The sequence below is a fragment of the Homo sapiens genome, chromosome 11 (genome assembly GCF_000001405.40).
Source record: "Homo sapiens chromosome 11, GRCh38.p14 Primary Assembly".
Taxonomy (NCBI): Eukaryota; Metazoa; Chordata; class Mammalia; order Primates; family Hominidae; genus Homo; species Homo sapiens.
Genome location: NC_000011.10, coordinates 120,536,543 through 120,552,016, shown reverse-complemented (window position 1 = coordinate 120,552,016; position 15,474 = coordinate 120,536,543). Strand labels below are relative to the sequence as shown.

General features: G+C 49.6%; 1 protein-coding gene across 16 annotated transcripts in view, besides 1 other annotated feature; it reads right to left on the bottom strand.

Moving 5' to 3' along the window:
- The window catches only part of GRIK4 (glutamate ionotropic receptor kainate type subunit 4), a 477,159-nt gene that overhangs the window by 436,890 nt on the left and 24,795 nt on the right, over window positions 1-15,474 (bottom strand). The window lies entirely within an intron of this gene.
- Window positions 3,333-4,078: an enhancer, noted in NCBI's record as "H3K4me1 hESC enhancer chr11:120418648-120419393 (GRCh37/hg19 assembly coordinates)". NCBI's record gives its function as "activates a minimal SCP1, AML or CMV promoter by ChIP-STARR-seq in primed H9 embryonic stem cells {active_cell/tissue: H9 hESC(primed)}" and the evidence as "EXISTENCE:reporter gene assay evidence [ECO:0000049][PMID:30033119]".

Below are 15,474 nucleotides of genomic sequence, written 5' to 3'. Positions count from 1 at the left end.
ATTATAAAGGATATTACAAAGGATACAGATGAAGAGATACGTAGGGTGAGGTATGGGGGAAGGGCCGCAGGGCTTATATGCCCTCCCCAGGCACCACCCTCCAGGAACCGCCACGTGTTCAGCTATCCAGAAGCTCCCAGAACCTGGTCCTCCTGGGCCTTTTATGGAGACTTCATTGGATAGACGTGACTGTTAACCACATAAAATTTTATTTATTTATTTATTTATTTATTTATTTTACAGAGTCTCACTCTGTTTCCCAGGCTGGAGTGCAACGGTGTGATCTCGGCTCACTGCAACCTCTGCCTCCCAGGTTCAATCGATTCTCCTGCCTCAGCCTCCCGAGCAGTTGGGACTAAAGGCGCCCACCACCACGCCCAGCTAATTTTTGTATTTTTAGTAGAGACAGGGTTTCGCCACATTGGCCAGGCTAGTCTTGAACTCCTGGTATCGAGCAATCTGCCCACCTCAGCCTCCCAAAGTGCTGGGATTGCAGGCACAAGCCACCATGCCCGGCCAACAACCATGTAAAAATTTAATTGGACAAAAAGGGTATGATCTGGATGCAGAACGGCCTGCCTGTTCAGATTCTTCTTGGCCTCTCTCTGCAGCATTCCTTCCTCCTGGGTATGAGGGCGGGACCCACTCTGGAATAAAGGTTTCATGACCCATAGTCAGATCAGAGTCTTGCCTTGGGCAGGTGAAAAGCGGGCAGGAGAAGGTCAGAGACAGAGAGATTCTGTTTACAGTAACAAGGGCTATGGGAGTTATGAGCCAGGGACCGGGGATGAAAACATACATATACAAAAGCAAACAGGAACTCGTTAACTTCCCACCACCAAATCTACCGGCTTCCCTCACTCTCATCTCATGTTCTCTGCCCTCCCTCCATGTATGTTGGGAGAAGTGTTCCTGCTCCCATAAGAGGCCAAACCATTCGTCTCGTGAATCCCAGCCCCTGACCTTCTCAAGGCCTTCATTCTGGAAGTCACCCTTCTGTTCTGAGTTATCCATGAATACCCCCACATTAGATCATGCCCTTCACTGTGCACTCATGCATGCTCCGCTGTCTCCTGCCCTTACAAATGAAAGACCCCACTCAGCCCTGCATGCCCATCCAGCCACTGCTCTGTGCACCTGCTCCTGTGCACAGTACTCCTCAAAGAACGGTTTGTGCCCACTCCTCCGTTCCTCTCCTCCCACTCACTCTCCAACCACCCCAGTCTGGCTTCTTATCCAGGTCACCAGTGACCACCTCACTGTTGTCAAACCCTCCACTCATGTCTGTATGCTTCTCCCGTGTGACTCCCGGGGCCTCAGGACTCACCTGGCCTCTGTCCTGTCTGTGGCGCCACATCCACCCTGGCTTGCCTCCTCCCTGGCCACTCCTCCTCCATGTCCACTGCAGGGCTCCCCGCCTCTGCCCGACTCTAACATTGGCATACCCCAGAATGCCATCCTCTGCCCCTCCTCAATATCTGTATCCCCTCCTACATTGCCTCTTCCTTTCCTCTTAAACACCGATGACTCCCAGATTACATCTCCAGCCCTGACCCTTCACCCTGCCGAGAGACTGATGATATCCAACTGCTGACGCCATCTCTCTGCTGAGTTGTCTAATCAGCATCGGCTCAAAGGAGAACCCCACCCCACCCCCCAACTCACCCCACCCCCACCAACCCCTGTTCTTACTCAGTCTCATCTAACAGCCCCATCCTCCTCCCACTCACTCCAGATCCTTGATCCACCTCTTCCTTTCAGCCCTGCGGCAGCAGCAACCTGGGATGCCAAGTCCAAAGGCACCAGCACCATTGCATCTGTCTGCTCTGCCACCACCCCTGGGTGTAAGCCCCTTCTTCCCCCTGTGACGCTGCACCAGCCTCCTGAATAGCCTCCCACTCCCACTCCTGACCCTCTGCCGCCCATTCCCCGCAACCAGGCAGCCACAGCAATTCTGTTAAAATGTAAATCAGACCATGGGATCCCTCTGCTCAAATTCCTTTAATGGCTTTTCATTGCACTTAGAACCAAACCCCTTGCAAGTGACAGAAAACGCAACTCAAACTGCCTTAAATGATAAAGAGTAATTTATTGATAGCAAAATGGCTGAGGCTGCCGTCTACCTCGCAGGTTCACATCTCAACATCCAGCATAGCCTTTTTCTAAGGGCCACAAAGGGGCTGCATAGACTGGCAGCAGCCTGGCCGTTCAGTTGATTCCTTGGTCCCTAGGGGCTCTGTCCTCCTTGAGGATTCCATTGTGTCCCCTGTCTGCAGCAGCTGCCCACCTCTCCCACTCCTTCTCTGCACCCCAGATCTCCCAGGGGCCCACGACCCGCCCTCAGCCTCTGCTTGTCTTGTCCCAGGCCCCTGCTGTGAGCTGAGCAGCGTTTTACTGTTGCACACGCCCTAGCCAGGCTCCGGGAGGGGGTGCCTGCTGTGCCCCTCCCTATCCTGTCTCTGCCCTCACCTCTTACAGGAAAGGGGCCTGCACACAGGTGCCACTGCAGCCCCCCGTGAAGGGCTCACTCCTTGTTTGTTAGTGTGTGTGTCTGTCCACATCAACAATGGTACCACACGGGGACATGTTCCTTCTATTAAAGAACAGCCAAGGCCGGGCGCGGTGGCTCACGCCTATAATTCCAGCACTTTGGGAGTCCAAGGTGGGTGCATCATGAGGTCAAGAGTTTGAGACCAGCCTGGCCAACATGGTGAAAGCCCGACTTTACTTAAAAAAAAATATATACAAAAATTAGCCAGGTGTAGTGGCGTGTGCCTGTAATCCCAGCTACTTGGGAGGCTGAGGCAGTAGAATTGCTTGAACCCAGGAAGCAGAGGTTGCAGTGAGCTGAGATCACGCCACTGCACTCCAGCCTGGGCAACAAGGCAAGACTCTGTCTCAGTGAAAAAAAAAAACAGCCAGGAAACAGGCATCCTTCAGAGCCCCCTTCATACCACAGCTGCCTGGGATGACAAAGCCAGGAAGAGGGGAAACCTGGTCATGCACGAGGTGCTGTGTCCTGGGCCTGCCTGGAGCTAGGTCAAGCCTGCCTGAGGCCAAGCCAGGCCCACACATCAGACAGGCACCGTATGGTCTCAGATTCTCACAGGGAACATATGCCCTGAGCAGAAGTGCCCTCCTGTGCAAGACAGCCCTCTCTACCCTGCAGATTCGGCCCCTTCTGCTGAGCGAGTGTGATGGATTACTTCACCTCTTGGGATTTCAGGGTTTTGTGTGTAAAATGAAGGGGTCTCGGAGCTGGGGTAGGCAGCCCCACAGACAGATGTGCCTCTGCTCTGGGGTGTTTGCTCTGGAACTGTCATACAGGGCACAGAAATCTTCCCTGTCCAAAATCCTCCCAGCTGCCACCAGAGGTCTCTTCCCAAAATGTCAAAAGGATCATGTCGGGCCATTCACTCTCTTAAAACCCAGTGCTTAGAAGAGGAAGTCTGAATCCCTCAGCAAGGCTGTGGGGACCGAGGTGCCTCTGTAGCCTCATCTCCTCCCGCTCCTCCTGCAAGCTGATGGCCAGCTGAGCAAGACACCCTGCACTTCTCTGACCACACCCCTTGTCTCCAGGCCACCATGCCTTTGCTGGGGCCATCCCCTCTGCTTGCAATCCCCTTGCCTCTTTGCCCTACGTCTCCACTTGCACAATCTACTTCGTAAGTGAGCCTCTGCCCACATGGCCCCTGTGCATCCTTGACTACCCCACCCCCAAATCAGAATTCAGGACCCCTCACTAAGCATCCATGGCACTGGGTCCTACTCCTGCTGTACCCAGTACTTATCACGTGTCATGCATGGTGTCTATTTTCATACTTCGAGAGCCCCTGGGTGCCAGGCAGCACAAGGGAGACAGCGTGGGCCTCAGAGTCCAGCAGGCCTGCAATTGATTCGGGCTGAGTCACCTACCAGCGCCAGTAACAGCTGATCACTGTCACACACAGGCTTCAGGCAGGCTGCCCATGCATGCATTCTCCCAGCGTCCTTCACCCTGTGGACAGCAGTTCCCATGTGTGCCCTCCCACAGCCACCCTCTGAGTCACAGGCCGGGCAGCTCCGCCCACCCTGGCAGGTACCCAGCAGCCCTGGGCTGCAGACTCCCCTCATACCCGGCATATTTATCCCGCTAATGAGTTCTTAAAGCTCTAACAGGGCTCTTTCCACTGAGCAGGTTCAGTAACAGATTCTTATAAAAAATAAATTCAGCACATTAAACCCAGATTTCAGCATATTAGTAGACCCATGGGGAGGGGCCTGAATTTACCAAACACTAGGCAGTTGCTGTCTTTTAATTAAAAAATAATGATGACAAGCTCATGTAATGTCTGGTCCCTCCCTAAGAAAGATTTTCTGATTTCCCATGTCAGACGTTTCCATGGAAAAACCAAGTGTTTATGTCAGGACAAAAAAAAAAAATCCCTGAATGTCTGGAAACAAGAAGCCTTCCCTGCTTGGCTCCTCTGGTGCCAACCCCTCAAACACCTTCCTCCCTCCCCTTATCTGACTGCTGCCTTGAAGGTGTCGGTGAGATTTTATGCCTGTGTGAGCATGTGGTCACCGCCGACCAGAGTCTAAAGGAGCCCAGCTCCATCTCACCACGCTATTCACTCATCCCTCTGTACTCCGCTCGTGCAGACACTCGCCCACTGGCTGAGGTCACTGCGTGCTAGGGGCGAGACATCCACAGATGCCCAAGGCAAGGTCTCTGGCCTTTGGGAGCTCAAAATCTAAGATGCCAAGAGCCACGATAGAGGAGTGCCCAGGGTACCCTGGAGGCAGAGAGAAGGGTGAGTGTGTCCAGGACAGGCTCCCAGGAGAGGCACTGTGGAAGGAATGGCCACTGAGCTGGCTCCTGAGGATGAGTGGAGGGAAGAGAGGGAAGGGGACTTCAAGTCGAAGGGACTGTCCACGCAAAGGAACTGAGGCACACAAGACAGGAGAATGTGGAGGAAGCGCTGCCAGAGCCCAAGGGGCAGGGTGCCGGGGAGGTACGTGGAGCTCTGCATGCACGAGGCTTAAGCTGGACAGTCAGGCAATGCCAACCCCCCGACCTTGCTGTTCTTAAGCTGCGCTCAGCCCCAGAACCTGTTGGGATTAGAGAGGAAGCAAAGCCGTATTTGGTTTCTCTAGCAAAATTATGAATCATCATCTTGCATTTCCATTTCATGCCCAGTTCTGGGCCTGAAGTTCCCCACAAATTCCATCCTTACTCCTAGTAGCCACACAGTGGGAGGGGACTTCAGGAGGTGGGCGGAGCATGTGTGACTCAGGAACGGGAGTGACATACTAAATAACTCAAGGCTAATGAGGGAGCTGAGCCAGAAGCATGTCCCAGGTCCTCTCCACATACTGCACGTTCCCTAGACTCCATCCTTCACCTTGGACACACTCTGTGGGGCAAGACTCCCATGGGGATATGCTATGAGCAGCCCTCTCACAGTGCTGGACTCCCATGCGGACTGCATCCCCCTTCCTCTAGGTGGATCTCTAGGGAGAAAGAATCAGGCTGTTGCAGGGGCAGGCACAGAAACCATGTCGCCCTAGCCCAGCAGGTGCAGTCTCCACCACCTAGAAGGACACAGGCAGGCGCGGTCCCTTGAGAAGTCCTTTGCCATTCCAGAGAGAATCTTTCCCAACTGAAAAATGCCCCTGACCACTTTTCCGGACCAGATCTCATTTTGGCCCATCTCCCTCAAGGTGCAGTCCTGAGAACTAACCCAGGACTGCAAGGGAGACTGCAGGAGCAAACCCACAGCAACTGGGGGCGAACCAATTCAACAGGAACAGCAGCACCAACGCTGCAAGGGCTGGTTTGCAAGGAGGGTCCCTGCTGCTAAAATCTCCTGTCTCCTCCACACAGGGGTTCCCCCTTGGAGGATGCAGCCCTACAGAGAACGGCTGTACCTCAGGGCCAACACCTGACCCACCCACAAAGACCACGGATTCTTTGGTCATGGGCCACAGAGACACGAAGGGGAGAAACCGAGGGTACCCAGCCACACCGAGGGGCACCAACCCACAAAGCAGAAGTCAGGAGAGATGTGAAGCCATCTGGTCAGAGCAGGAAGGGTGGAGCCTGGGTGCCACCCTTGGCTCTGTCTGAAAACATGCAGGAAAGCACTCAGTGCACAGCACAGGCCTCCGCAGTTCTCAGTAACTCCTTCTCAGTCTTTATCAAGCCTGAGTTAAAGAACGTCTAGGTGTTGTTATCCAAAGATCCCTAAAACTGGTGCTCCCTACCTGACCATTATAATCAAGATTTCTGGATTCCAGGGCAGGTGAAACTCAATCAACAGTTCTCCTCCCTTTCATTCAAAATCCATTGCCACTGTTGTTTCACACAAGACAGAGGTAGTTAAGAGCCTGGGCCCTAGAGTCAAATGGTGCATATTAAAATCTCATCACTTCTTCGCTGTGTGACCTCTGCCAAGTTACTTAACGTCCCTGAGTCTGTTTTCCTCATACACAAAAGAATGGTTAATAATAATCGTACGTCAAAACACCTCGAATAGTGCTTACTACAATACGGCAATTACTCATTCCATGCCAGTTACTATTGTTATTGATAGTGGGCTACATGGTAGGATTGTTGGCAATTTCCACCCTCTTACATTTGCCTCACTGTATTTTTTAAACTCTCTTCAATGAGCACATATCACTTTATAACAAGAAAAAAATGTATCTTAGGAAAATAACCTTCAATTAAATTCACTTAATATAGTTTCAGCCAAATGAACACCCTTAACGACTAGAGATAAGGCAGTTTTGAGGGAAAGAGCTCCATTTCTGGTTTGACTACATAAGGACGTGTAGTAAGAGATGCACAAAAGGGCTCAAAGCTGTGGCTGAACAGTGGGAACCCTGCAGAGAGCCACAGGAAACCGGCCAGTGACCCCGCGGGCCAGGCCTGTATGTCCCCTGGTTTGTTCACAGCTGGCCTCTGGCCAGCTGTGAGGCCTTCAGTCAGCTGCGTAAGCTCCCTGCCTCAGTTTCCCCATTCACAAATTAGAGAAAGCGGGAACCCTGCAGCACACGGTTGTTGTGACAGTGGACCACACTGAGCGCACCCTGGGAGTCCGGGCTGTGCTCAACAAGCCTCAGGTCCCCTTGCCCCTAGGTCTTCAGTTTCATCTTATGGTCCCTTAGTGGAAAAGGACAAATATGGCTTCAATGAATCCACTGAAGAATCTCTGTTGATTCTTTCTAACCCTCCTTATCCAGCCTTAACCTCTCACATGTACATTAGGACCAGAGCTCTGATGACCCACAAGACACCTCCTTTCCATGTCCCCGTGGTAACTCAACCCTAGGAAACATCACAAGGTAGGGGGTGGAGGGACACAACTTCCTAATAACAGCTGTGCTGAAATGTCCAGGTTGAAAACAAATAGTACTCTTTAGCCTGTAATCCCAGCACTTTGGGAGGCCGAGGCAGGTGGATCACCTGAGGTCAGGAGCTCAAGACCAGCCTGGCCAACATGGTGAAACCCCGGCTCTACTAAAAGTAGAAAAATTAGCCAGATGTGGTGGCACATGCCTGTAATCCCAGCTACTCAGGAGGCTGAGACTAGAGAATCGCTTGAACCCTGGAGGCAGAGGATGCAGTGAGCCAAGATCATGCCACTGCACTCTAGCCTGGGTGACAGAGCAAGACTCCATCTCAAAAAAAAAAGTATAAAAATAGTATTATTTAACCACTTTGTTAAGGTATGATTGACATGTAAAAGACCATACATATTTAATGTATACAACTTGATGAGTTTGGGGACAAGTATACACTGGTGAAACTACTATCACCACCAAGGCCACAGACACATCCATCAGCTCCCACAGTTTCTCTCACCCTCTTTATAACTATTTTCATATGTCTATGGTAAGAACGCTTACTATCAGATCCATCCTCTCTGCAAATTCTAAGTATAGAACACAGTATTGTTAGCTATGGGCACTATGCAGCGCAGCTCGCCAGAACTGACTCGCCTTGCATAGCTGAAGCTTTGTGCCCTCTGACCAACAACTCATTTCCCCTCCCCACCAGCCCCTGACAACCATCATTCTACCCTCTGCTTCTGTGAGCTATTTTAGATTCCACATGTAAGTGAGATCATACAATATTTGTCTTTCTGTACCTGGCTTATTTCACTTAGCACACTGTCCTCCAGGTTCATCCACGTTTTTGCAAAGGTAGGATCTTCTTCTTTATTAAGGCTGAATAATATTCACTGTATGTGTGGACCACATATTCTGGATTCCATTCTTCCAAGAGGAACACTCTCTTGGCTATTGTGACTAGTGCTGCAATGCACATGGGAATGTAGATATCTCTTCAAGATCCTGATTTCAATCCCTTTGGATAAATACCCAGAAGTGGGATTACTGGCTTGTATGGTAGTTCTATTTTTAATTTTTTGAGGAACATACATTCTCTTTTCTTTTGAGATGGAGTCTCACTCTGTCACCTAGGCTGGAGTGCAGTGGCGTGATCTCAGCTCACTGCAACATCCGCCTCCCGGGTTCAAGTAATTCTCCTGCCTCAGCCTCCCGAGTAGCTGGATTACAGGCACACACCACCATCCCCGGCTAATTTTTTTGTATTTTTAGTAGAGACAGGGTTTCGCCATGTTGGTCAGGCTGGTCTCGAACTCCTGACCCTCAGGTGATCCACCTGCCTCAGAAAAGTGCTGGGATTACAGGCTTGAGCCACCACACCCAGGCCTAGTTTTTTTGTTTTTGTTTTTGTTGTTTTAACTTTTAGGTTCAGGGGTACATGTGCAGGTTTATTATACAGGTAAATACATGTCACAGGGTTTGATGTACAGATTATTTCATCACCCAGGTACTAAGCCTAGTACTCAATAGTTTTTTCCGCTCCTATCCCTCCTCCCACCCCATACTGTTTTCCATAATGACTACCAATTTACATTCCCACCAACAGTGTACGGGGGTACACTTGTACCAGCTATGAGGCTTTCAGCCAGCTGTGCAAGCTCCCTGCCTCAGTTTCCCCATTCACAAATTAGAGAAAGCAGGAACCCTGCAGCACAGGGTTGTTGTAACAATGGACCATAAAAAGCATATGCTGGGAGCCTAGGCTGTGCTCAACATGCCTCAGTTTCCCCTTCCCCTAGGTCTTCAGTTTCCTCTTTACAGTCCTTTGCTGAAAAGCAGCCATAAAAAGGTCTTCTTTTCTCCACATCCTCACCAGTATTTGTTATCTTCTGTCTTTTTTTATTATGGCCATCCTAACTCTTGTGAAATGTCATCTCATTGTGGTTTTCATGTGTGTTTCCCTGGTGATTAGCAATGTTGAGCATCTCTTCATATACCTGTTGGTTATTTATGTGTCTTTGGAGAAATGTCTATTCAGATCCTCTGCCCATTTTTTAATTGGGTTGTTATTTTGCTGTGAAGTTGTAGGAGTTCCTTATATATTTTGGATGTTAATCCCTTATCAAATATATGGCTTGCAAATATTTTCTCCCATGACATACGTTGCCTTTTCATTTTGTTGATTGTTCCCTTGGCTGTGCAGAAGCTTTCTTGTTTGATGTAGTTCCACTTGTTTATTTTTGCTTTTGGTGCATATGCTTTTGGCATCATACCCAAAAAATCACTGGCAAGACTAATGTGAAGGACCATTTTCCCTATGTTTTCTTTTAGGATTTTTATGATTTCAGGTATTATGTTTAAGTCATTAATCCATTTTCAGTTAATTTTTAGGTATGGCATAAGATATAGGTCCAATTTCATTCTTTTGCATGTGAATATCCAGTTTTCCCCACACCATTTATTGAAGAGACTGTCCTTCTTCACTGTGTATTCTTGTGCCTCTGATGAAGATTAGTTGACCACATATGTGTGGATTTATTTCTGGGCTCTCTATTCTGTTCCATTGGTCTATGTGTGTTTTTATGCCAGTACCATATTGTTTTAATTACTACAGCTTTGTAATATAGTTTGAAATCAGGAAGTATGATGTCTCCAACTTTGTTTAAGACTGTTTTGGCTATTTGAGGTATTTTATGGCTCCATATGAATTTTAGGGTTTTTTTTTCTCTTTCTGTAAAAACAAATGCCTTTGGAATTTTGATATGGATTACATTAAATCTGTAAATCACTTTGAGTAGTATAGACATTTTGACAATATTAATTCTTCTAATCCATGGGATATCTTCCAAAATATAGGATACCTTTCCGTTTATCTTCTCAAGGGTATTTTTTTGGCCAGGCGCAGTGGCTCATGCCTGTAATCTCAACACTTTGGGAAATCAAGGCAGGCAGATTGCTTAAGCCTGTTCAAGACCAGCCTAAGCAACATGGCAAAACCCTGTCTCTACAAAAAAAATACTAAAATTAGCCAGGCGTGATGGCACACCTGTAGTCCCAGCTACTTGAAAGGCTGAGATGAGAGATCACTTGAGCCCAGGAGGTCGAGGCTGCAGTGAGCCATGGTCACACCACTGCACTCCACCCTGGACGACAGAGCAAGGCGCTACCTCAGAAAAAAAAAAAGAGTATTTTTCCTGACACCTACCTGTTATGGCCTTTTTGGTTGCAACAGCTTATCCAGGTCAACTGACAAATGTTATTGAAGACTTACTCAAAAGGCTTACTCAGAAATAGATAGGACAGCTCCTGCCCTTAAGAAGTACCTAATCTTCTGGGCGAAACTGACACAGGAATAAATAGTTTCAACACACCGTGATAAGTGCTCCAATATAACTGTTCAAAGTGTGATGCTGGCTCAAAGGAGGGGTCAATCAGCTCTGCTCTGAGGGGATGGATCAGCAAAGACTTGAGCTGGGTCTTAGAGGATGAGCAGGAGTTCAGCAGGTGGGTAAGGAGGTAAAGACAGAGCTGCACCGGCAAGGGCCCAGATGTGTGAACTAGCACAGCACATTCCGGTAGCTGCGCCTCAGTCCAGGGGCAGGGCCCCAGGCTGCAGGGCAGTATGTGGTAAAAATATGCTGGAGAGAGAGGCTGGGGCAGGTTGGAGAGGGCCACGTGTAGCAGACAAACAGCTGTTCTTTGTTTTGTTTTTAAGAGACCGGGTCTCACTCTCACCCAGGCTGGAATGCAATGATTTGTGATCACAGCTCTTCAACTCCCAGGCTCAAGAGATCCTCCCACCTCAGCTTCCCAAAGTGCTGGGATTACAGGCATGAGCCACCGTGCCTGGCTGTTCTTGATATTTTTTGAGTCCAAAGTCCTCTTTGAAAATCTGATGCAAGCTATTGTCCTTGTACCCAAAAATGCCTATACTGTACTCACATCTTTGCATATAACTCAGGAAGCTTCCCACCCCTCAACTCTACCAATGATCCCCTGGGTGTTAGTGAGCCTCATTTTTTTGTTGTTTGTTTTTTATTTTTTATTTTATTTATTTATATATTTTTTGAGATGGAGTCTCACTCTGTTGCCTAGACTGGGGCGCAGTGGCACGATCTCTGCTCACTGCAACCTCCATCTCCTGGGTTCAAGCGATTCTCCTGCCTCAGCCTCCCAAGTAGCTGGGATTACAGGTGCGCACCACCATGCCCGGCTAATTTTGTAGTACAGACAGGGTTTTGCCATGTTGGCCAGGCTGGTCTCGAACTCCTGACCTCAAGTGATTCGCCCCCCTCAGCCTCCCAAAGTGCTGGGATTACAGGCATGAGCCGCCACGCCCAGCCGAGCCCCAAGTTTTAAGCTCCCATGAGGATCCTAAGGAAGACACCCTGGTAATATGCCCCTGTCCCTTTGCCAGACCTGTCAGATGGCTCAGACCCTGCGCTCTGTGGTTTGAATGATTAAACCCTAAAAGCATCTCCATGCACTTTCCCACATCCAAGCTGCCCTCCTCTTACCTGGCTGCTTGCCCAGGACTGTGAAGCCTTTCTATGGTGTCTCCCTAGAGACCTGGAAGAGCCTCCTGCAAACCTGGCAGTCACCTTGTGAGCACCTTTCTTGTCATTTATATACATGCTCAATAAACCTAGGCCCAGCCCCAGCCCAGGAAACACTCCCTTCTTGGTCCAATAACTCCCACGATTCGCTGCCTGTCACAAACAGCTTCTCCACTGTGACAAAGTCCTAGCCCCAGCCCCGTGATAACTCAATTATTTTAACATTGCATTTGGTGGGTAACCTTGAAAAGGCCTTTGAAAGCCAAACAGATTATAGCTGCTGTTTCCCTTTATCTGGCTGCCTATTTAGCCCTCCAGGAGCTCCATTAAGCCATCCTGGCACACATTTTCTTTGCAGAAACCCACCGTCCAGCCCCCAATGGAGGCGTTTTGCTTGTGTGTTTGGTGACTCTGTTCAGCTGGGAGATGCTGACATGGCTTCAAATATTTAACCAGTTTAAAGACATATTGGTAATGGCAATAACTTTGCTGATGGCCATTCAAATTAAACTCCAGATCAAATAAGATTTGTTGAACCTAAAATACTAATTAACTCCCTGGCCAGCTTCCTTCACAGCCGATGGCCACATGGGGCAGCTGTGTGTCCTGGGAAGAGCACTGAACTTGGGAGTCCATCTGCAAAGGGGAAAATAGTGCTTATTTTCATCATGTGGTTGTGAAAAGCAAATAAGATCATGTTCGCACAAGTGGTTCCTTTTGTGACCTATTACGAAGTGGATACGAACATAAGGGATCGTTATCATTTGTAGTTAAAGATGCTCCCGGCTCACCCTCGGGGGTCTGCCCTGGGATTTGCCAGACCTGTTCTTCGCCAGGCCTGTTCTTCAGAAGCTCTTGAGGACAGAGGAAACACAAGTTGGGTAACAGGCCCAGGACTGTCCCACAGGCCCCCCAAAACCACCCAGCATCACCAAAGAGGCTGTCCTCTCCTCCCACAGGGAGCAAGCTGGTCCCTTTGAGGGGTACCTTCCCCTAATAGAGTGTTCCCTGTGCTGCCTCCGAAATCTTAGAGAGTTCCCCCCAGCTGCAGTCTCGGCTGGGTGCCTCTCACTTGCTTTGGAGGTGGCCCTGGCCTTGGGTACACCCAAGAAGCTTTGGGGGCAGGTGGTCAGCACCACTTTTCTTCTCTCATACAGAATTTCCCAACCTGGAGAGTGAAGAGAGGAGAAATGTCTAATCTGGTCCCTGGCTCAGCAAGGACACTAGGCCTTCTCTCTGGCACTTCCCTTGGGAAGATGCCAGTCATTCCTGAAATACAGTTAGAGCCCTGAGCCCCCAGCCTGGCATCAGCAGAGTCACCCTACAGACTTCCTTGTCAATATGTTGCATTGGTTTGCCAATGCAGAAACCCAGCCCTTTCCTTTTCCTGACCTCTTCCTCCTCTGAGGACAGATAGGTAGTTACCCAGGAGGGCTGCCAGTTTCAAGATCTCAGACCAGCAGCAACCCTGAGAACATGGCCCGTCTCTGCACTTCAGGCAGAGAAGGGACCCGAGGCAGTCTGCCCAGCCAGCCGTAAGCGGCCAGGAAGCCAATGATAATGGCTAATGCAATACATGCAATTTCATTACTAATGTGAAAATTGATTCTAACTCACGGAGAAAGGAAAGGGAAATCTGCTTGGAATGTTAAGTCTCAAGGATTTGGAATGGCTGGATGTGCCTGTGCTGGGAGAGGAGGCCTTTTACAATGTACACCCCCTGGGGAGGGAATCAGACACTTTGGTGGAGCAGGGGTTGGGGGTCGCCTGGACATTTTTGAGTTCCCTGAAGTTCCCCACCTGTAGTCAACTACTGTTCTCCCCTCTTTCTTCCCCAGGAGGAGGTGCCATCTCCAGAAACAGGTCCTCTCCCACTGCCCTGACGCCCAAGTGATGCGCGGCCCTGTCTTGGAAAGCAGCCTCGTCCTGGGGACAAGCACACAGCGGGAGGGATGGGATGCGTGCCGCTCCAGAGGCCGTGAGCAGGTCAGGCCGGAAAGCAAGCATCTTCGTATTCCTAAGGAAAGACTTCTGTCCTCGTTAGAAAGTGCAATATAAGAAAGTCTGTGGCTGTGACACACTTTTGTTTATTAAGGCTAAATAACTAAGAAAAGATTTTTATTTAAACCTTGGCCATGGCCATACATCACGGACTTGCCATGTGGTTTTTCTTGTCATAGGATAGAGACACTTCCCTGCCCTCCACTCTAGGTCTATCCTCTCCACAAGGAAAACTCACTCAAGGTTTGTTTGTTGGTTTCTTTTTTTTTTTTTTAAGAACAAACAAGTATGTGTTCCAACCTGTTCACAGAAGAACATATATTTATTCTACAACAGATCCCCTCATTCATTACTGAGCATCTACTTTGCAGGTGGCACTGGGCCAAGACTGAAGCTGTAGGTAAAGGAAGCTGCACAGCGCGGCGAGGAGGAAGGCGCGTGCCCGTCCACAGTGCACCATGATCGCCCGCTACATAGGCGGGTGCAGAGCATCTGCAGGCCTAAGAAGGAATGATTAATTCCACCTCAGGGTTTCAGGGAGCTTCCAGGAGACATGTGTGTTTGCTTCCTTCACTGTGGGCATCCAGGTAGGACTCCCCCAGGCAGTAGAGAAGCTGCCTGGCAAGATCCCAGAGATCTCATTTGCACACACCCATCTATCTGCCTTCTGTTCATGCCCAATAAAGAGAAGGAGACATCCCTATTAAGGATGGTAGATTTGATTTTGAAGCTTCCTAAGAGGCTGAGGCCCTCTGCAGAGTTCCAATATCTCCGTCTCTGAGTTTCCGCCTCTGACCACAACCCCAAGGCTCTCATGCTTCCCAATCTCTCATTCCTAAAGAACCTGTGGACCAGGTCAAGAGAGGACGATGCAACCATGGAAGAGACAAGGGATCCTGCATGTCCACTAGTTGAAGGCAAAGAGTAAGGAACAGCAACATAAATAAGCTAGGCTCTCCTGTGGCCCTCGGAGTCTTTGAATCAGTTACCCTGAGTCCTCTGTCTTTTGAGGACACCTCCCAGGAAACAGGTCTCGGCTCCCTTGCCCTCTTGCCAGCTCTCTTCCGAAAGAACTGTGGACTTTATCAACGTGTCTCAGAGTGAGGCCCTACGCACTGGGCACAGTGCACCCAGAGCACATGCTCACAGGGTGGAGCATGGGGAGCACGCCCTAGGCCTCAACCCCTGGCCGCCTCCTCAGCAGGCGTCTGGGCCGGGCAGAGCTGGTGGTCAGCCTGCCTCCAAGTCCTCTGCCAATCAGGCCTCCCCCGCTCTGTTTACGTAATTGACTTTTTAGAACTCTAGATGCAGGACTCTTCCTTTGCTGGTGGTTAATTCCATCTTGTTGGTGTGGGTCCATTGTTCTTCCTATTGATCACTCCCCACTCATCCGGTAGGGTAGCTTCTTTCCCTGCCGAGCCTCATATCAATTGGATAATCCACCTTCTCCCTCCTCACCTGAGCCATCAATACATACGTCAACCAGAACAGGCCCAAGGACGACACCCTCTGGCACCAGAGACCCAAAGGAAGGGTTTGGTTAATATCTGTCACGTGACTAAGCGAGTACCTGAATAAATAA